The 19,136-nt window shown below is 52.6% G+C and overlaps 2 protein-coding genes and 1 long non-coding RNA gene across 7 annotated transcripts in view, besides 13 other annotated features; 2 read left to right on the top strand and 1 right to left on the bottom strand.

Annotated features, from left to right (window-relative positions):
- ANKRD11 (ankyrin repeat domain containing 11) overlaps nucleotides 1–19,136 on the top strand; it is a 222,932-nt gene that overhangs the window by 152,995 nt on the left and 50,801 nt on the right. The gene's annotated exons all lie outside the window — the stretch shown is intronic.
- LOC128462377 (uncharacterized) overlaps nucleotides 1–19,136 on the top strand; it is a 101,247-nt gene that overhangs the window by 80,726 nt on the left and 1,385 nt on the right. The gene's annotated exons all lie outside the window — the stretch shown is intronic.
- Nucleotides 505–708: a silencer, noted in NCBI's record as "fragment chr16:89403267-89403470 (GRCh37/hg19 assembly coordinates)". NCBI's record gives its function as "represses an EF-1alpha promoter that drives an FKBP-Casp9 reporter gene in an ReSE screen in K562 erythroleukemia cells {active_cell/tissue: K562}" and the evidence as "EXISTENCE:reporter gene assay evidence [ECO:0000049][PMID:32094911]".
- Nucleotides 1,756–1,885: a silencer, noted in NCBI's record as "silent region_7899". NCBI's record gives its function as "represses an Ori minimal core promoter by ATAC-STARR-seq in GM12878 lymphoblastoid cells {active_cell/tissue: GM12878}" and the evidence as "EXISTENCE:reporter gene assay evidence [ECO:0000049][PMID:35858748]".
- Nucleotides 6,635–7,158: an enhancer, noted in NCBI's record as "H3K4me1 hESC enhancer chr16:89396817-89397340 (GRCh37/hg19 assembly coordinates)". NCBI's record gives its function as "activates a minimal SCP1, AML or CMV promoter by ChIP-STARR-seq in primed H9 embryonic stem cells {active_cell/tissue: H9 hESC(primed)}" and the evidence as "EXISTENCE:reporter gene assay evidence [ECO:0000049][PMID:30033119]".
- Nucleotides 10,654–11,853: an enhancer, noted in NCBI's record as "BRD4-independent group 4 enhancer chr16:89392122-89393321 (GRCh37/hg19 assembly coordinates)". NCBI's record gives its function as "activates an origin of replication core promoter dependent on BRD2, P300/CBP, MED14 and CDK7 cofactors, and independent of BRD4, by STARR-seq in HCT116 cells {active_cell/tissue: HCT116}" and the evidence as "EXISTENCE:reporter gene assay evidence [ECO:0000049][PMID:35650434]".
- Nucleotides 11,353–11,472: an enhancer, noted in NCBI's record as "active region_11402". NCBI's record gives its function as "activates an Ori minimal core promoter by ATAC-STARR-seq in GM12878 lymphoblastoid cells {active_cell/tissue: GM12878}" and the evidence as "EXISTENCE:reporter gene assay evidence [ECO:0000049][PMID:35858748]".
- Nucleotides 11,513–11,632: an enhancer, noted in NCBI's record as "active region_11401". NCBI's record gives its function as "activates an Ori minimal core promoter by ATAC-STARR-seq in GM12878 lymphoblastoid cells {active_cell/tissue: GM12878}" and the evidence as "EXISTENCE:reporter gene assay evidence [ECO:0000049][PMID:35858748]".
- Nucleotides 12,650–17,115, bottom strand: LOC100287036 (uncharacterized). Its single transcript, NR_168302.1, has 4 exons — nucleotides 16,340–17,115; nucleotides 14,234–14,468; nucleotides 13,647–13,801; nucleotides 12,650–13,331 (listed from the first exon to the last, which is right to left on the bottom strand). It is a non-coding gene; the product is annotated as an uncharacterized LOC100287036 (long non-coding RNA).
- Nucleotides 13,566–14,765: an enhancer, noted in NCBI's record as "CDK7 strongly-dependent group 2 enhancer chr16:89389210-89390409 (GRCh37/hg19 assembly coordinates)". NCBI's record gives its function as "activates an origin of replication core promoter dependent on BRD2, BRD4, P300/CBP, MED14 and CDK7 cofactors, with strong dependence on CDK7, by STARR-seq in HCT116 cells {active_cell/tissue: HCT116}" and the evidence as "EXISTENCE:reporter gene assay evidence [ECO:0000049][PMID:35650434]".
- Nucleotides 13,993–14,506: an enhancer, noted in NCBI's record as "H3K27ac-H3K4me1 hESC enhancer chr16:89389469-89389982 (GRCh37/hg19 assembly coordinates)". NCBI's record gives its function as "activates a minimal SCP1, AML or CMV promoter by ChIP-STARR-seq in naive H9 embryonic stem cells {active_cell/tissue: H9 hESC(naive)}" and the evidence as "EXISTENCE:reporter gene assay evidence [ECO:0000049][PMID:30033119]".
- Nucleotides 16,663–16,742: a silencer, noted in NCBI's record as "silent region_7898". NCBI's record gives its function as "represses an Ori minimal core promoter by ATAC-STARR-seq in GM12878 lymphoblastoid cells {active_cell/tissue: GM12878}" and the evidence as "EXISTENCE:reporter gene assay evidence [ECO:0000049][PMID:35858748]".
- Nucleotides 17,073–17,586: an enhancer, noted in NCBI's record as "H3K27ac-H3K4me1 hESC enhancer chr16:89386389-89386902 (GRCh37/hg19 assembly coordinates)". NCBI's record gives its function as "activates a minimal SCP1, AML or CMV promoter by ChIP-STARR-seq in primed H9 embryonic stem cells {active_cell/tissue: H9 hESC(primed)}" and the evidence as "EXISTENCE:reporter gene assay evidence [ECO:0000049][PMID:30033119]".
- Nucleotides 17,073–17,642: a biological region, named in NCBI's record as "H3K27ac-H3K4me1 hESC enhancer GRCh37_chr16:89386389-89386902".
- Nucleotides 17,263–17,642: an enhancer, noted in NCBI's record as "active region_11400". NCBI's record gives its function as "activates an Ori minimal core promoter by ATAC-STARR-seq in GM12878 lymphoblastoid cells {active_cell/tissue: GM12878}" and the evidence as "EXISTENCE:reporter gene assay evidence [ECO:0000049][PMID:35858748]".
- Nucleotides 17,587–18,099: an enhancer, noted in NCBI's record as "H3K27ac-H3K4me1 hESC enhancer chr16:89385876-89386388 (GRCh37/hg19 assembly coordinates)". NCBI's record gives its function as "activates a minimal SCP1, AML or CMV promoter by ChIP-STARR-seq in primed H9 embryonic stem cells {active_cell/tissue: H9 hESC(primed)}" and the evidence as "EXISTENCE:reporter gene assay evidence [ECO:0000049][PMID:30033119]".

The raw sequence follows: 19,136 nt of genomic DNA, 5'->3' as shown, positions 1-19,136 counted from the left end.
TACTCGGGAGGTTGAGGCAGGAGAATGGCGTGAACCCGGGAGGCGGAGCTTGTAGTGAGCTGAGATCGCACCACTGCACTCCAGCCTGGGCGACAGAGGGAGACTGTCTCAAAAAAAAAAAAAAAAAAAAAAAAAAAGAATTGCTTAGACCATGTTCATGTATTGTGCAGTAGGGTTAACAGTGACAAAAACTGTGAGTGTCTGATGGCAAATCCAATGAGACCCAGTGCTCAGCTGGGCTTGGTCACGTGGCGGAGGATTCCGAGCCACCTGAAGTCCTCTCCTTTCTGACGTTTCCTTGGGAGCATTTGGGCATGGGGCTTCCTCCATTAATCTGTGCGTTTGGCGTTTTAATTTGCAGTTTTTTGTTTTTTGTTTTTTGAGACAGGGTCTCACTCTGTTGCCCAGGGTGGAGTAGAGTGGTGTGATCTCAACTCACTGCAGCCTGTGCCTGCCAGGTTCAAGCAATCCTCCCATCTCAGCCTCCCAAATAGCTGGGACTGCAGGTGTGCACCACCACACCTGGCTAATTTTTTTTTTTTTTTTTTTTTTTTTTTTTGGTAGAGCCAGGGTTTCACCATGTTGCCCAGGCTAGTCTCCACCTCCTGAGCTCAAGCAATCCACCTGTCTCGGCCTCCTAAAGTGCTAGGATTACAGGCATGAGCCACCGCACCCAGCCTCCCAGAGTGCTGGGATTACAGGCGTGAGCCACCGCGCCCGGCCTGCAGTTGTTTTCTAATGGAAAGACATTCCTTTATATTTAAAATGTTACACTTGTATTGAAACCCTTTTATCATCTCTCATGTAGTCAGAACATTAGAAGCAGATAGGTAGAGAGTGGGGACTCCTTGTAGGGCGTGCTTTTAGGACAGGCCGGGTCTCCTAGTGCCTGTGCTCCCTGTCGTGGCCCACCCGGGGGGTGTGGTGCCCACAGGTGGCTTTCCGTCCTTACAAAGCGTCACTTTAACCTTGTGTCTCATTGAAGTGCTGGGTTCCCACCAGTGCAGAAGGAACAGTGGTTGTGCTCTTAATTGTAGAGGACATTGTGAGAAATCTGGGCAATGTCCTGCTACAGGAGTCCTCCTGGACTCCGTCTGGCCCCTCCTTCAGTGTTCACCTGGTCCCTAGCACCACAGAAGCCCACAGCAAACAGACTCCTTCCTTCCTGGGTCTTTGAATCCAGTGTGCTGTCTGTGGACGCACACCCGCCTCTAGGTCTGACGACAATCTTGGAGGTGCGGGCAGTTGCGTGCCCTGGCGTGTGTGCATTTGGTGGCTGCTCCCCGGCACCTGCTCCCAGCCAGGCACCAGGTCCAGCTCTGTTGATGTGGCTCTTGCCTGAACCCCTCAAGTCTTGAGTAGCCCACAAGGACAGTGGCTCTGAGCTCCAGAGGTATCCTGGACAAGTGGCCAGAGGCCTGGGTTCTGTGGATTACATGGCAGAAAACCGTGTGGCTGAAAACGATCAGCAAATTAACAGTTAAAGCTTTTTCAAACCAACTGGCAGGAATAGTATCTAAGGTTTCCTGTGATGTTGGCCATCACTTCTTTATTTAGAAACTCTAATAAAAGACCCATCTGAGAGAGTCACAGGGCATCTTGAAGCATGTTGCACGGTCATGTTTGCGGCGGATGCCTCAGCACAGGCAGGGGTCTGGCCAGTCAGCTGCTGGCGTGTGGGGATCCTGCCCTGCGTTTCTCCTAGCCCTTTAGAAGCACCAGCTGTAGGGGAAACTCACAGGTACTCTCTGGGTCAAACCGTAAAACAAGCTTGTGAGAACCCACACTGGGGCCTCTCACTGTCACACACTGGGGCCTGTCACGGTCAGTGATGCCTTGGTCCTTGCTGTTTGCAGGCCCCTGGGCGCTCATGTGCTGTGTCCTGAGGGCTCAGCTGAGGTGCAGAGACACAGACTTGTCATCTTACCTCAGCTTGTGTGTGTGACGGGGCTTTGCAAACCAAAGGTTCCCTGCCAAAGCGACGTCACTCGCTGTTCTGCTACAGGGTCCTGAGGCAGCACGCACAGGCTTTCATGGGAGTGGTATAGCGTTCATAGGGAGAGGAGGGAGAGCACCTGCCCTAACCCACTGCGTACTGCGTGCTAGGTGGGAACCCACTCATCCTGAAGCTCAGGACGGCAGAGACCCCTGAATGCAGAGGCCTCAAGCTGCTCCCATGCTTCTGGGACCTGTGGGACTCACGGATGCCTCGGTGTGGATTTGTTCCTGTGCTGGAAGGAACTGGAGCCCTCTGTGCAGCCCTGTTGCAGCCCCTGCTTGGGGGTGCACTGGCCTCTTCTGGGAACAGGGGTGGTGTGAGGCTGTCACCCGCGTCTCCCAGCCTGCATGGAACGCCAGGACAATGGGGAAGGCACGCACTGAGCTCACTTCCTGTGCTTTCCACAGTGCCCCCACAGGCCGGACATGGGGCATCAGGGTGTGTCCTGATTAGTTATTTGGGGAGGTGGTCAGCAATCAGTGTTAGTCGTTTTTTATTGTTCTTTGCGGTATAACATCCGTGGAGGAAATGGCACACATCTTAGGTGCACATACGATAGAGCTCATGTCACATGTACCTGTGGGATCTCCTCCTGGACCTCCCCTCCACTCTGCTGCTTGACTGTCTGCCTGGCCCCCAGCACCATGGGGCCCTCATGCATGCAGAAGGCCACAGCAGACACACTCGTGTCTGGCTCTTCGAATCCAGTGTGCTGTCTATGGACACGTGCGCCCCGTGTGTTGTGGGCCACCTGGACTCATTTGCTCTTCTGCTGGTGGACACGTGGGTGGGCTTTTTGCAGTTTGAGGGTGTTTTGCACAAGTGAGTGTGGTATGACGTGGTTGGCGGCCTGTGCTGCTCATCCCTGGGGTGTGCCTGGGATGTTGCTCCTGGGCCCTCGTGGATGTGGCCCCTCATGGAGCGTGGCTGAGACTGCGCTGGGCTCTGCTTGCTCTGGGTCAGGGTCTGGCCTACCCACCTGGCTGCTTCTCATGGCCCCATAGCATGCCGCATGCCCACTGCCCACATGGGTGGGGTGTTTTCTCGTCACTTTGCCAGCCTGGAGTTGGACGTGGTGGGACACTCCCCCTTTGTGAGAGGAAGCAGAGCAGTGGAGGAAGAGAGGACTCCTCAGAGAATGGCAGGCTTGGAGGGGTAAGAAGAGCTGGACCCACTCAGAACCTGAGAGGAGGTTGTTTCTGTTCAGTCTTGGGGTACCCTCACATGTCACCAACTTCAGAAACTTGGCCGTATTGGCAGTACACTCACTGGGGGTTGACTCCCAGTCAGCAGGGATTGTGAAGGCCATTGATGAGGGCTAGGCCAGGCATCAGACATTGTCCTGAGCCCGCAGCTTGGGAACAGTGTTTTTTCTTTCTTTCTCTCTCTCTCTGTTTTTTTTTTTTTTTTTTTTTTTTTTTTTAAAACACAGGGTTTCATCATGTTACCCAGGCTGGTCTTGAACTGGGCTTAAGTGATCCACCCACCTCAGCCTTCCAAAGTGCTTGTTTTACAGGCTTGAGCCACTGCACCTGGCCTTATTTCTGTATTTTATAGATTGAGAAACTTAGATATATCTGACCACAGATTGAGGGCTCTTAACCAGTTAGGCCAGCATTTGAATTGTCCTGACTGCTTCCAGTGGTGAGAAAGTAGTTTATCTCTCTGTTCACAACACACGCCCACATACTGGGAACATACTCACAGAATAATACCGTCCCTTTCTGTGATGGTGTGCAGTGCCCCCTAATGTTTCCTGTTCTGTATTATTTCACTTTCACAAAATGGCTTTATTCATAATTGCCAAAACTTGGAAGCAGCCAAGATGTCCTGCAGAGGGTGAATGGATCAGTCAACCAAGGTCCATCCAGACGACAGACTATTACAAGGCCCTAAAAACAGACGAGCTGCCAGGCCTGAGTGAAAGCAGCCCGTCTCCAAGGACTACACACTGTAGGGTTCCGACTCTGACATCCAGGAAAGGGCAAAACTGTGCAGACAGCACAAAGATCAGTGACGCCAGGGGCTGGGGAGAGGGAGGGACGGAGGGTTGTGCAGCAGGAACACGGGGGACCTGGGGCAGTGAAACTACTCTGTATGATACCACAACGGTGGGTCCACATCAGGATACGTTCGTCCAACCATAGACTGCACAGCACCCGGTGGACCCTGAGGTCGTGCGGCCTGTGGGTGATGATGCTGTGTCCAGGGGGGTCTCAGCTGTAACAAACGGCCACTCTCGTGGGGATGCTGAGCCCGGGGGTGCAGGGGAACCCTCTGTACTTCATGCTCAATTTTGCTGTGAACCTAAAGCTGCTTTAAAAAATAAAATATGTTTTATTTTCAGTGTCTGTTTAACATGCTAAAATGATTCTGGAATTGACCTTAGGCATGACCCAAAAGTTGTGATGCATCTTTGACTGGAGTTCCCAGAGCATTGTTGAGCTTGGCCACTGAGTCTGTGACCTCACACCAGGGGGCAGGCGTTTTTCTGCATGCCCCACAGGGGCCCTTCTTCCCTGGGGGTTCCCTGTCACTCTGGGGGACCACGTGTGAAATTCCCCGGGTGCACAGGATGGGAAAATGGCTGAGAAGCGTGGAGCAGCCCCGCTGTTCTGTTGCAGCTCGTTTCTTGAGTTTGTAACTACGTTCTCAACTGTGGACCCTTGCGTTAAAAAACAAAGCAGCCCTAAGGAGTAATAAAACATTTGAGCATAAAGGAAAGAAATGGACGTTTCTAAGGGAATTGCTTGCTTTCTCAGTTGTACCAGGATAACCTCCTTGGAGGTGTGGAGGTGTGAAACTAGGGAGGTCAGGGCAGCGGGGCACTTTCCTCAGAGAGGGCAGTGCAGACCAGGCCCTGCCGGAGGAGAGCCCTGCCTGGTCTCAGCGCCTCTCTCGTTGTGTTTGTCGTTTGCTTTTTTCTAAAGCCATTACAGTGATGATAACTTGGATTTAGATAGTGCTTTTTCATTTAATCCCCACAAAATCCTTTAGGAGAATGGGTTCTTGTCCTCATTTTATAGAGGAAGTTGGTGAGAATCAGTGAGCAGACGAGGCTGTTTTCTTGCATTTGTCTTGGCCTGCAGGTGTCATTTCTCCCCAGAGCTGCGGGTACAGGTGCTGCCGTTGTGGAGGGACGTGTGGAGCTGTAAGGCATCTCTGTCCTCGGGGACTTGGGGGGCTCAGTGTTTCTTTCTGAAAAGGTACAGCCCACCAGAGGTGCTTGGGCCATCCCAGGACTTCACGGAGCTGAAGAGCGTTCACCAGGTGTTTCTCATGAGTTGGGTTTTTAGTTTTTTGTCTGTTTCAGTGTTTATAGTCTGCTTGTAAAATGATCCTTTATTGTGAGGATTCTTTAATACGTAAGGAAGTCATTTCTGTGACACATTCTGCAGCTTCTGGAATTGTGTCTTTTAAGATTATTATCTTTTTTTTTTAATATGGAGATGGAATCTTGCCATGTTGCCCAGTCTGGTCTCAAACTCCTGGGATCGAATGATCCCTTCCACCTCAGCCTCCCAAAGTTCTGGGATTAGAGGCATCAGCCACTGCATGCTACTGAGTTTTTAAATTTTTTTTGAATGTTTTGTGTGCCCTTCTTAAGAGAGAGTGTGGTGAACACAGTGGTGATGACGGTTCCCAGCATGTGGGGCCCACGTGCAGGAGCCACCCCAGCCCGTTAACCCGGAACCAAACCCGAGTCCACACCATTGCATCCGCCGAAAACATTCAAAACCATCACCGTATCTTAGACTAAATGAAAATAAAAATAGCACACAGGCTAGGTGTGGTGGTTCATGCCTGTAGCCCCAATATTTTGGGAGGCTGAGGCAGGAGGATCCCTTGAACCCAGGAGTTCGAGGCTGTAGGGAGCTGTGATTATTTAATTACACTGCAGCCTGGGCGACAGAGGAGACCCTGTACCTAAATACATATCTATAAATCTCTATCTCCTGAATCGCTGGGTGCCTTGAACTTTCTCAGTGTCACCACACACCCAGCGGTATCAAAAGGCTCTTTCCTAAATGTGCCATTTTCTTCAGCAGTTCTTTGTTTGAACTGGTTTCCAAACAGGGTCTACACACTAAGATTCTTTGATGTCTTTTAAGTCTTTAATCTGTAAATTCTCCCTTTGTTCTTTTCTCTGGGATTTTTGCCTGTTTGTCAGAGATCGGGGTCTTCTGTCCCATAGAGTTGTTCTGTCCATGAGATATATGATGTGAACTGTGCATCTAATTTTAAATTTTCTATTAGCCTCATTATAGAGTAAAAAGAAACACATGAAGTTAATATTAAGAATGTATTTCATCAGGCCGGGCGCAGTGGCTCATGCCTGTAATCCTAGCACTTTGGGAATCCAAAGCAGGCAGATCACCTGAGGTCAGGAGTTCGAGACCAGCCTGGCCAACATGGCGAAACCCCATCTCTCCTCAAAATAGAAAAATTAGCCGGGCATGGTGGCAGGCACCTGTAGTCCCAGCTACTCAGGAGGCTGAGGCAGGAGAATTGCTTGAACCTGGGAGGCAGAGGTTGCAGTGAGCCGAGATGGCACCATTGCACTCCAGCCTGGGCGACAAAGTGAGACTCCGTCTCAAGAAAAAGGAAGGTGTTTTGCTTATAATATTTTTCAAAATTTTAATTTTTGTCCTCAGGGCATATGGCACTAACTAGAACTGTACAGTCAAATTACCAGGTTTTAATCAAAAGCCACTGGGGGAAGTTTAAAGAGTGTCCACAGAATCTTTGATCTGCCTCCCTTCAGAAGTGGAGCACCGTTCTCTGCAGAGTGTGGGCTAGAGGTTGGAACTCGCCGAGGAGGAACAGGATGAGGTGGAAGTGAAGCCGTGGGACTTCCGATACAAGAGATGCTGCAGCTTCCTCCGCCCCCGCCCCCCCCCCCCCCCCCCAGTCACTGTACTGGGGAAACCTACTGCCGTGTCACGAGGACCCTCACGCAGCCCCTTGCTTCCGATACTAGGTCACAGAGGTGCCGTGGCTCCCCCCCACACCACCCCATCAATGACTGCACTGTGGAAACCCGCTGCCACGTCACGGGGACCCTCACGTAGCCCCACGGACATGTCCACACATCCGCAGCCGTGTCTGTGCACCAAGGAATTTGGGCCTTCTGCCAGAGCCAGCAGCAGCCCTCCCGGTGTGCGAGCGGCCACCTGGGAAGCAGCCCCTCCCTCTCCACTGGCTCCCCTAGCACCTGACTCACATCCTGAGCCAGGTCTCCCGAGCCTTCCCACCCACCCAGAAGCTGCGTGCTGTCAGGAATGCTCCTGGTGTGGTGGTGGCTGCATGGTCATTGTTGACAAATGCTTTGTGTCCTGCCCCTGACCGGACACACAGCTAAGTGTATTGCTTCCTCTTCCTTTTTGAAGTTGTAGAGATTGCTTTTTGTATTTTTATATTGAATGCTTTAAATCCTTTAAATGTTTAATGTCATTCAAGTATATTTAAATCATTTTAAACATTATTAAAATGTTTATATTTAATGTGAATACATAAACAAAATTTTATGTTTTTACATTTTATTTTATTTTATTTTATTTTATTTTATTTTTGAGACAAGGTCTCACTCTTGTCTGTCGCCCAGGCTGGAGTGCAGTGGTGTGATCTCTGCTCACGGCAGCCTCTGCCTCCCAGTGCCTCAGCCTCCCAAGTAGCTGGGATTACAGGCACGCACCACCATGCCCGGCTAATTTTTTGTATTTTCAGTAGAGAGTTTCACCATGTTGGCCAGGCTGGTTTCGAACTCCTGACCTCAAGTGATCTGCCTGCCTGGGCCTCCCAGACTGCTGGGATTCACTGCACCCAGTCTCATTTTATATTTAATGTTTTAAATGATGTAAAATGCATGATTCCAAAGCCAAATACACAAAACAAGGTTTATGAAAGGAAGCTTACCTCCTACCTCATACTGTTTTTTTACTTTATTCCTTCTTTCTATGGGAATTAAAATTTTTTTCTGTTTCTAGTTAATTTTTTAACAGCTTTATTGAATTACAATTGACATAAAATTCACTCATTTTAAATTTACAGCTCAGTGGGTTTTGGGAAACGTATACCGTTGGGGAAACACCATCACCTAAAAGTATAGACTATTCATCACCCATGGGAGTCTCCTTACACCCCTTGTGTTTTTTCTCCCTTTTTTTTCCTTTTTTCTGTGAAATCATTATAGACTCACAGGAAGTTGCAAAAATAGCAGCATCCCTTGTGCCCTTCCCCACCTTCGCCCAGTGGCCGGGAACATGACATTGGAAGACAGGGTGACCGCCCTGCAGACTTGATTCAGATCCCCCGTCTTATCCTGGATACCTGGTCCTAGAGCCTCCTCGACAGCCACCGACAGACATGAGCCCTCCTCACGGAGTCCCCGCCTGTTTCCCCGAGGTTGGTGGTTTTGTCCTGGAGGAAGCCGTGGGAGTAGAGTCCACAGGGAGTGACCTAAGAGGTGGGCTTTGTGCACTCACTCAGCAGGGGCCTCCGCTGATTCGCCCGTGCTCCTGGGTGCGTCCACTCACTCACCAGGGGCCTCTGCAGATTCGCCCGTGCGCCTGGGTATGTCCACTCACTCAGCAGGGGCCTCCACTGATTTCGCCCGTGCTCCTGGGTATGTCCACTCACTCAGCAGGGGCCTCCACTGATTTCGCCCGTGCTCCTGGGTATGTCCACTCACTCAGCAGGGGCCTCCACTGATTTCGCCCGTGCTCCTGGGTATGTCCACTCACTCAGCAGGGGCCTCCGCTGATTCGCCCGTGCGCCTGGGTGTGTCCACTCACTCAGCAGGGGCCTCCGCTGATTTCGCCCGTGCTCCTGGGTATGTCCACTCACTCAGCAGGGGCCTCCACTGATTTCGCCCGTGCTCCTGGGTGTGTCCACTCACTCAGCAGGGGCCTCCGCTGATTTCGCCCGTGCTCCTGGGTGTGTCCACTCACTCAGCAGGGGCCTCTGCAGATTCACCCGTACGCCTGGGTGTGTCCACTCACTCAGCAGGGGCCTCTGCAGATTCACCCATACGCTTGGGTGTATCCATAGCCATCCCTTTTACTGCTGAGGGGATGCCGTGATGTGAATGAAACCCAGTTTCGAGGACACCGCTGGGACACCTGTTGAAGGGTTTTCCCCATTGTCTATTATCAGTGAAAGTTCTGTGAACATTCGCAAACAGGTCTTTGTGTTCACATGAGGTTCCATTTTCTCAGATAAATGTCCTGGGGTGCAGTTGTTGAGTGGGGCAGCAAGCGCACACTTAGGTTCGTAAGGCTGCCTTGCTGTTCTCCAGAGCAGCAACACCACTTTGCGTTCCCACAGCAAGCGAGAGAGTTCCAGCTTTTCTACATCCTCTCCAGCATCCTTGAGTATTTTGTATTTTAGCTGTTCCGATTGGTGTGCAGTAATATCTCATTGCGGCTTTAAGTTGTGTTTCCCTAACGGCTTAGGATGTCGAGTGCCTTCATGGCTTGTTCACCACGTGCACCTCTTCTGAATGTCTGTGTGTTTTCTCTTATTTTCTAATTAATGTTTGTTGTTTGATACTTCTTTCTTCTACATACAAGCCTGCTATCTGACTTGTGATTTGCAGATATTTTTCCCTGTCTGCAGTTTGTCTTTTCACTCTTTAAACTAGGTCTTTCAAAGAGCAAAAGTTTTTAATTTTGTCGAGGTCGTTTATCAGTTTTTTCTTTTATGGATTGTGCTTTTGTTGCCATGTCTGACAACTCTTGGCCCTAGGTCCTAAAGATTTTCTCCTGTTTTTTCCTAAAATGTGTATAGGTTTTTCTAGTTTTGTTCCATATGAACCTAAGCATTTATTTTTATTTGGAGCACCTATAAATGGTACTGTCTTTATTTCATGTTTTTATTTGATTATTGCTAGCATGTAGAAATAGAATGGTACTGTGTATTTCTTGTTTTCATAGGATTATTGGTAGCATGCAGAAATAGGATGGTACTGTCTTTATTTCTTGTTTTCATAGGATTATTGCAGAAATAGGATAGGTGTTTGTGTGTTGATCTTGGATTCTGTGTCCTTGCTGAACTCTATTAAATAAAGTTTCTTGGAATTTTTGATAGATTCCTTGTGATTTTCGACATGGACACTTACACCATCTTCAGAGAGAGACAGTTTTATTCCATTTCTTCCTTTCTGCCCTGTATGCCATTCCATCTGCAGCCCTCAGCACGTCACTCTTGATCATGTCAGCCTTGAGTTCTTGGTAGTTGGCCTTTATCGTGTTGAGGATGTTTCTCCACACTCCTGTTTTCCTAGGAATTTTTATCGTGAGTTTTGAATTTTATCAAATGATTTTCTGTACCAGTTGTGATTATGTGGTGTTTCTTCTTTAGCTTGTTGGCATGCTGGGTGACGTTGACTGATTGATGGTTGAGCCAGCCTTACATATTTCGCTGTCATCAGAAGTGTAGGTGCCCTCTGCATTTCCAACCTCTGCATTCCCCACCTCTGCATTTCCAACCTCTGCATTCCCCACCTCTGCATTTCCCACCTCTGCATTCCCCACCTCTGCATTCCCCACCTCTGCATTCCCCCTCTGCATTCCCCACCTCTGCATTGCCCAGTGGACTTCTTGCTGTACCTGCTTTTCTCTGCGTCTCCGCCTGGTCGTGTGTCTGTGGAACCTCCTTAGTCCTGTCAGCCCCACGTGCAGATGTGCCCGGATGCCACCAGCAGCCCCTGGCGGGCAGGCTTTGTGTTAAGCCCCTTTCTTAGGAGATGCTTTGGGGCACTGCTCTGGGCCAAGCACTTTTTCATGCCCCGGTTGTGTTTTTTTGGTTTGGGGTTTGGGTTTTTTTCACACAGGGTCTTGCTCTGTCACCAAGGTTGGAGTGCAGTGGTGCAATCTTAGCTCACTGCAGCCTCGACCTCCTGGGCCCAAGGGGTCTTCCTGCCTCAGGCTCCCAAGGAGCTGGGATTACAGGTGCGTGCCACCTCGACTGATTAATTTTTTGATATTTTTGTAAAGATGAGGTTTCCCTACATTGCCCGGGTCTCAAACTCTTGGGCCCAAATGACCCCCCTGCCTTGGCCTCCTGAGTAGCTGGGACCACAGGGGTGAGCCACCGTGCCTGGCCCTATTTGTGTAATTTGGGGGTAGATTGAGCAGTGGGTGGGTGGTTGCTGAGTGGTGTGCACCTTCTGCAGCGGGGTGGGGGGGGCGGTGGCTGCGTCCCCTTCTGCAGACCGTCCTCCTCTGCATTCCCAGCAACGGTGCGTGACACCCCAGACCTTTCTAACCTTCCTCTTCCCTGCGTGTTTCTCTCTGCTGGTCACTTCCGTGTGTTTATTTCCACCCTCGCAAGCCTTGGAGGAAATCTGCTGAGTCACCCTCCATCTGCCGTCCCTGCCTTACGGCCATGATTATTTTTAGCTGTGCAATTGTACCTTTAACACACACGCCTGCTTTTCTTTGTCTTCATCACATTTAGTTTGTATCTTGGCGCCTTCTGTGTAAAAGAAGCATTTTCCTTGCTCCTCCTCCCCTTCGTCTTCACAGAGCTGTGTGTCTCCTTGTCAGGCTCCAAGCTCCCTGTTGCACTCTGCAGTGGGTGCCCTGCAGTGTGTATTGGGCATGGCTAGGCCTGCCCGACATGCTGGGAAGCCTGAAGCTGCTCCGTCGTCATGCTCATGCCCTTGAGGGTCCCAGTAGGGCCTAGCAGGGCGATGGGGCCCTCCTTCCTCTAGGAGGCCAAGACCCCTGAGAAGAACAGGTCCTGCAGCAAAAGGTCAGTGACACCTCTGAGGCCTTGCAAGGACATAGTGTGGCCTTTATCTCTGTCACCTTCTGAAAGACTGCTTCAGCTGAGAACCCAAACGTCCACCCAGTAAAAATGTACAACTTAGCAGACCACAAAGCAAACGCCTCCGCAGCCTTCACTTAGAACCCGTTTCACCGTCCCTTCCAATTCCATCCGCCAGGCAGCCATTTTCCACGCTTCGCGGATGTCTTGTCAACTAAGTATGCATCCCTAAGTACTGTAGTTGCTATTTTCAGAAATTTATGTAAATGTATCATGTATTTTGTCCCCAACATTATTACTCTGTGTGTGTGTGTGTGTGTGTGTGTGAGAGAGAGAGAGAGAGAGAGGAGAGGGGAGAGGGGAGAGGGTCTGGCTCTGACGCCCGGGCTGGAGTACAGTGGCATGATCTTGGCTTACCGCAGCCTCGACCTCCTGGGCTCAAGTGATCCTCCTGCCTTAGCCTCCCTGGTAGCTGAGACCGCCAGCATGCACCACAGTGCCCGGCTAATTTTTAAACTTTTCGTAGAGACAGGGTTCCTCAACATTATTTGTGAGATTGACTTACGTTGTGATGTGTTTGCCTCCTCTGCTGTGTAGTGTTCCACCCTCACATCCTAGTGGCACGCCGCAAACCCCACTGCTATGAAGCACTTCACGCGTGTCTCTTGTGTCTGTGCACCTGCTTTTCTTTTGGACGTGTATGTCCAGAATGGCATTGCTGGGCTATAGGGCATACTTGTGTTCAGTATGAGTAGAGATTGCCAGGTGCGTGAGTTGGCCCTGATGAGAGTGGACTAGTTTCCTTTGCTCCACCCCTTCACCAGTACTTGTGTGTACGAGTCAGGGTTCTCTAGAGGGACAGCACTAATAGGATAAATGTATATATGGAGGGGAGTTTATTGGGAGTATTGACTCACACAGTCATGAGGTGAAGTCCCACAATAGGCTGTTGGCAAGCTGAGGAGCCAGGAAGCCAGTCCGAGTCCCCAAACCTCAAAAGTCGGGAAGCCAACAGCGCAGCTTTCAGTCTGTGGCCGAAGGCCCAAGAACCCCTGGCAAACCACTGGTGTAGGTCCAAGAACCCAAAAGCTGAAGCACTTGGAGTCTGATGTTCGAGGGCAGGAAGTATCCAGCATGGAAGAAAGATGGAGGCTGGAAGACTCAGCCAGTCCAGTGCTTCCGCAGATCTGCCGTGCTGGCAGCTGATGAGATCATGCCCCCCCAGATGGAGGGTTCGTCGGCCTCTCCCCGTCCACTGACTCAATGTGAATCTCCTTTGGCAGCTTCCTCAAGATGCTCCCAGGAACAGTTACACATCCTTTAGTCCAGTCAAGTTGAAACTCAGTAGTAACCCTCACACTTACCTTGGTTTTAGTTTGCATTTTCTTGATGACTAACGAAGCTGAGAACTTTGCGCCCACGTGCCGCCCTCCTGGCTTTTTCCCTCTTCTGTGAGGCACCCACGTCGCCCCGACTGCTGTGTCCGTGCTCCTGTCGGGTGGTCCGTGTTCCGGAGCACGGGGCTCCTGTATGTTCCACAGCCCAGTGACCAAGCATGTGTCTGAGGGGCAAAGCAGAGGCCAGTAATGCTGAACGCGCTCTCGGTGCTGCCACCCCCCGCCGTGATAACAGAAAATGTGAGTGGAAACAGGGCTGCAGTAGAGAGCGTTGTGCCGTGGGGCACTTTGGGAGGCCGAGGCCGGCAGATCATGAGGTCAAGAGATGGAGACCACCCTGGCCAACATGGTGAAACCCTGTCTCTACCAAAAATACAAAAAGTAGCTGGGCACACTGGGGGTTTGGTTTGAACCTGTGAATTTTGGGGTGCAGGGGAGGGGCCGACACAAACATTCAAACCGTAGCAAAGAGATTCTACCTCGCGATGTGTGGTGCCTGCCTGGCCTTGGCCAGTGTGGCTTATGGGGTGAGACGGAGGACACCCATGTTAGGAGTCCTTTGCACAGAGTGATAGCTGGAACCCCACAGTTGGTGTGGCCCTGAGGAGGGGAAGGAGAGAGAGCTGGTGCGGCCCTGAGGAGGAAGGAGAGAGAGTTGGACTCTTGGGGAGGGCTCTTCAGAACGTGCAGGGGTGTGTGGAGGCTGGACAGAGACGCTGACGTGGACTGTCAGGCGGTGTGCGGGAGGGCCTGGTTCCTGTGAGGGCCTCTGTCCCTCGGCTCTTCCCCTGCCCCGGGCTCAGCCCCCCTGCCCTGGGCTTAGCCCCCGTGCCCTTAGCTCAGACCCCCTGCCCTCGGCTCAGCCCCCCTGCCCTCGGCTCAGCCCCCCTGCCCTGGGCTCTGCCCCCCTGCCCTGGGCTCTGCCCCCCTGCCCTCGGCTCTGCCCCCCTGCCCTCGGCTCAGCCCCCCTGCCCTCGGCTCAGCCCCCCTGCCCTGGGCTGCTTGCTCTCCCCTTGCCCACTGAGATGGTGAGAGGTGAGAGGCCAGTGGTGCTTCTCTTCCATACCTGGGATTGCCACAGTGCTGTGGGTCATAGGGTGTGTCACTCAAGGGCTTTGCACACAGTAGGCCTGCCAGGTATGCAGCTCTTTTTCCTTTTCTCCTTTTTTCTTTTTTCCTCCGCTCAGTCCGTTGGAGACTTCTCTCCCTGTGAGGTGTGCACAAGGCACCACTCCTGACGCAGCCGCTGGAGACCGTGCTTCTCCCTTTCCACGGAGCGCACAACAGCCGGCAGGGCTCAGCTGGAAAAGGCAGGGGTTGCCGTAAAGCATCCTTCAGACACCAGCCTCGGAAGCATGGCGAAACCCGACTCCACAGAAAGTACAGAAATTAGCCGGGCATGGTGCCACGGGCCTGTACTCCCAGCTACTTGGGAGGCTCAAGTGAGCGGATAGCTTGAGCCCAGGAGGCGGAGGCTACAGTGAGCTGTGATCACACCGCTGCACTCCAGCCTGGGCAACACAGCTGTCTCAAACAAACAAACAAACAAACAAAAGAACTCTTCAGATAAAGCTAAGGTATCTGGAGCATGGCCGTGTGCTGCAGGCAGGCCACACCTCATCACCATGCGGGGCTGTGCCCAGGGCCGACGTGGGAGCAAGCCCCTGGTGCCACACAGGACTGCTGCTTCCAGCTCCTCCTCACTCCCCCTTCCCCACCCTCCCCAGTGTCCCCCTCAAGGCAAACAGGCCTTTGGTGTTTGATCCTGTCAGTCATGAGTGTGTTCCTGTCTTTGGAATTGGAGCTGGGATTGAAGGTTCTGGGAGAGCTTCCCTTGAAGGGCTTCCCTCCCCTTTTCCACCCTGCTGCTGACTTCCTGTCTTCCTCCTCCTGGGCCTCTGAGGCCACGTGCCTGCGTGAGGGGAGGGGCTGAATCACATCCCTTCTCAGGGGCCTTGGGCACCATTCGATATTTAAATGGTCATTACACAAACTAGTGGTTGGTGGAGTTATTAACTTACATAAGGAGAGGAGCATTTGCCCAGGACGTACGTAAAGGCCTGTTCTATCAACATACTGTGGAAGACAAATCTGAATTTGAAGTGTTCTCTTTCTCTCTGGGAGTCTTCGGAGGGTAATGTTGTCACATCTGTTCAGGGAGAGAGACTCACCCAGGTGTAAGGGGGCTTGGTGTTTTAATACAAATTACAGCAAACCCTTGAACAATACAGGGGTTGGGGGCGCCAGCCTCCTGTGCAGTTGAAAATTTGTGTAGAACTTTTAACTTTCCCCAAACTTAACTAACAGCCTTCTGTTGACCAGAGCCTTCCTGACCACATAAAGCCAGTCACACACATTTTGTATGTTATGTGTGTTCTGCTCTTACTGTTAGGGTAGAGCAAACTAGAGACGTGAAAATACTGAGATCATGAGGAGAAAATAGACTTAAGCCTCGCGCAGCAGCAGCGGGTCTCCACGAATGGCTTTCGTCCTCCGGGTTTTCACGTTGAGGAGGCTGAAGAGGAAGAGGAGAGATGGGTCTTGCTGTCTCAGGAGAGGCAGAGGTGGAAGAAAATCTGCGTGTAAGTGAACCCACGCAGTGCAAACCCAGACCCAGGTTGTTCATGGTCAGCTCTGCTTACATTCCATCCCTTTATTGAAGGTGAATTTCAACCCCAAAGAAGTCTTTTTTTTTTTCTGTGAGTTTTAAGATTAGTTGTGTCATTACAAGTTTTTTCTTATACGGTCCTTCTCAGGTGTTAGTGTGCAGAACAGAACATGCTTAAAATGCAGGTTTGGGTTCAGAAGGCCCGAGGGGACCCGTGAGTCTCCATGGTCCACGGACTCCCTGGTGATGCCAAGGCCTCTGGCAAGGAGTGCTCCTGGGCAGCCCCTGCCCCGCAGCTGCGGCTCCCCACCCGGCCCCACAGTCCCCGCCCCGCAGCTCCCGCCCCACACCCTGCCCTGCAGGCCCCGCCCCACAGTCCCCTCCCCACAGTCCCGCCCTGCAGCCCCAGTCCTGCCCCGCCCGACAGGTGTCTCAGGGTTGTCCTGGCCCAGCTCAGATCCTAGAAGCCGGGGAGAGGCAGCGCCGGATTCCCCACCAGTGCCTGCTCTTGTCAGCTGAAGAGACCAGATAGGCTGAAATTCCTGGGGGTTTTGCCAAACTGACCTTGCCGTAGTCAGTGTAACCACTTCTGCATCAGGCTTAATCCTGGAGGAAGGCTCTTTGGTGCTCGCTGCATCTCCTGTGGAGCAGAGGGAATCGCAGCTGGGCTCCTGTGTGTGCGGAGGGGGAGGGCGCGGTGCCTGGATGGTTCAGGCGAAGGCTCTGTGCTCGCTGGCGCGTGGTGGGTGCTGGGAAACCTGCCCTGTGCCTTCCCTGGGCCGGTCTTGACAGCATCTGTCACCTCCTGAGTGCTCTTGAAGCCACCTTCCGGGAGGAGCAGGCCATCGTTGTTCCTGTCACGTCTGTCCTGCCAGCCCCGTAGAAGGATTGTCTTTTGAGCCCCATTGCAGGGGAGGTGGAGCCCCTCTGGGCTGCAGGGGCTCTCGCAGTGTGGAGAGGCACAGGGCAAGGACGGCTGTTCCCAGCATCAGCTGGCCCTGGATCCCAGAGCTGGCCGCAGACACTGTCCACTCCGCTGGGCTGAGTTGTGTCTTATTTTGGCACAGATGCGGGGCTGCCAGGTAATGGGCAAGTTCCCTGAGCCCACAGCTTTGGCGCCGTGGCTTCTGCTTCAGGGAGTGTGCCAGTGGCTCGTGTGGGGGACTCCCACCACCCTGGACTCTCGGTGACCCTGACAGTCCACGAAGCTGGGACGGTTGCCATCCGCCAGGAGGTGAAGTAACAAGGAATGCGTGGCCTGGGGGCGGTCAGGGCCAGGTGCTGGCCGGCCCCTCGGCTCTGCGTTTACCTTCCCGCGGCTGTGCCTTGCCGCTCAGCACAGGGCGTGAGTCAGCCCCAGTGGCCTGAGGCGTGTTTCAGTTTCCTGCTGATTCAAGGGTCGTGAGTTTAAAATAGACTTTGCCTGATAACTTGGAAATGAGGGAGATTTAGGCTGCACTTAAAATGAGTCTAGGCAGGGACAGCCAAGTCACCTTCCAGGGAAGAGTCTCCCCCGGGAGTGAGACCCGGTGCCTTCTGTTGTGTGGTCGGCTGTGCAGCATCGTGATGAGAAGGCACAGGGGCTGCGGAACTGTCTAAAGAGGGGACTCCCAGCTTCAAGGACTGTTTTATGTGACAGCCCTGCCAGGGAGGCCTGGGGACATCATCACAGCCCCCACCCTCAGACAACACCCATGAGTCAGCAGAGCCTGTTGGCCTGACTCCTGAGTGCCGTGCAGCCCCTGGTAGAAGTCACTGACACGGCTGAGTAACGGTTCCTCGGCCCTCGGCTGGCTCTGCCATTTCACGGCAAGGGGTGAGGCTGACCAGCCCTGAGCCTGGTGGAGGGAACACAGGGCAGTGTGGGGGCCAAAGGTGCCAGAGGCATCACCAGGGCAGCTTCTGGGAGGACTGGGATGGCAAGTCTTGGAACAGAACAAAAGCAACTGGAGCCTCTGTCCTCATCTGGTCTCTCATTGAAAAAGACTCTAGAGTGGGCCGCGTGCTGCACGCCTGGTGCCTGCAGGCGGGTCCTGGGAGGTGTAGCCTGGGCTAGATGGCAGCTACATCCAAACCAGCTTCATCCACATCCAGCAGATGCTTCAGCAGGACATCTCAGCTGTCACCATCTCCATGACTGTGATGAGGGTGGTGGTTCATGGAGAGGCGGGGGCTGGGGTTGCAGGGCCTCGAGCACATCGCTGCCATCGGTAACATGTTGTAGCCAAGGCCAGGCGGACACGAGGGTCCTGGAAGGGCCACGGCCTGGATGGTCTTAGCTGTCATCGTGCAGGTGGCTGGAGAAACGTCTCCAGAAAACACAGCGTACACCTGGGACAACACTCCCGAGTCCCCGGAGTGTTCGCTGTGATGCAGGCCGTGAAAAGTATTTTGCCTGGTGGGTGCGACCCACTTCCTCCACCTCCTGAGTGGACTCCCAGATCCCTGGTCCATTGGGGAAGGTGCCTGGGCAAAGCACCAAGCTAGGGACATGAAGAGAATCAGGTGTCTCAGGAGTGAAGTGATAAGCCCCGCACTGTCGGGGCCCAGACACCGTCCGGAGGCCGTGGGGTCTGCGCCCTGACCACGCCAGAGCTGTTGAGTGTGTCCGTGGGCCACAGACTCACATCTGGGATCAGGACGGTGGACTCTACATGGTGAAGGCCCCGTTTTTCCGTCCTGAGAGCAGACAGTCTGGATTTTTTAAAATGTTAATTCCAGATAATCCTTAAACTTGTAAACATTACCACTGAGTTTCTAGACAGCCATGAGCTTGAACAGCCTTCCGAGTCAGGTGCTGAGATGCCCTTTCTCCAGGCTGAGACATTCCGGTTTTGTGGTGGAAAATTGGAAGAGAATGTAAAATTCATTGGTTCAGGTAGAGAGAGAAAATATGTCTGGCCTCAGGCATCAGGGATGGTGGATGGAAACACCTGCTCACCTGCACCGCGGGTGGAGGTGTCAGGCAGTGAATACGTTGACCCGACCTGTCCCTCTCTCCAGAATAACTTCACCTGTGTTCTTGTACCAGTTAAATACCAAGACAGCAGTTGGTGGGATTTTATCATTTATTTTAGAAAGACAAAGCAGGTCATGAGATGGTGTTGGAGGAGAAGCATCTTGTGGTCTCAGCCAAGCCTGCGTCCAGGGGCAGGTGGCATGCAACGTATCCTTTAGCTGACGGGGTGGAGGTGGGAGAGGCTCACAGTGGAGCTGCCACTCACAGATGGGTCTGCACATCGTGTTTCAAAAGCCATACTTCGTGCATGAGCGAGATGGGTAAATGCAGGGGAGCGAGTTGCAGAAGCTGCTTCTCCCGGCATGGTCGCGCACAGAGGTGCTGCTGTGGCGGAAAGGGCAG

The sequence above is a fragment of the Homo sapiens genome, chromosome 16 (genome assembly GCF_000001405.40).
Source record: "Homo sapiens chromosome 16, GRCh38.p14 Primary Assembly".
Taxonomy (NCBI): domain Eukaryota; kingdom Metazoa; phylum Chordata; class Mammalia; order Primates; family Hominidae; genus Homo; species Homo sapiens.
Note: the sequence above shows the minus strand (reverse complement) of the source record. Positions and strands in the feature narration are given on the sequence as shown.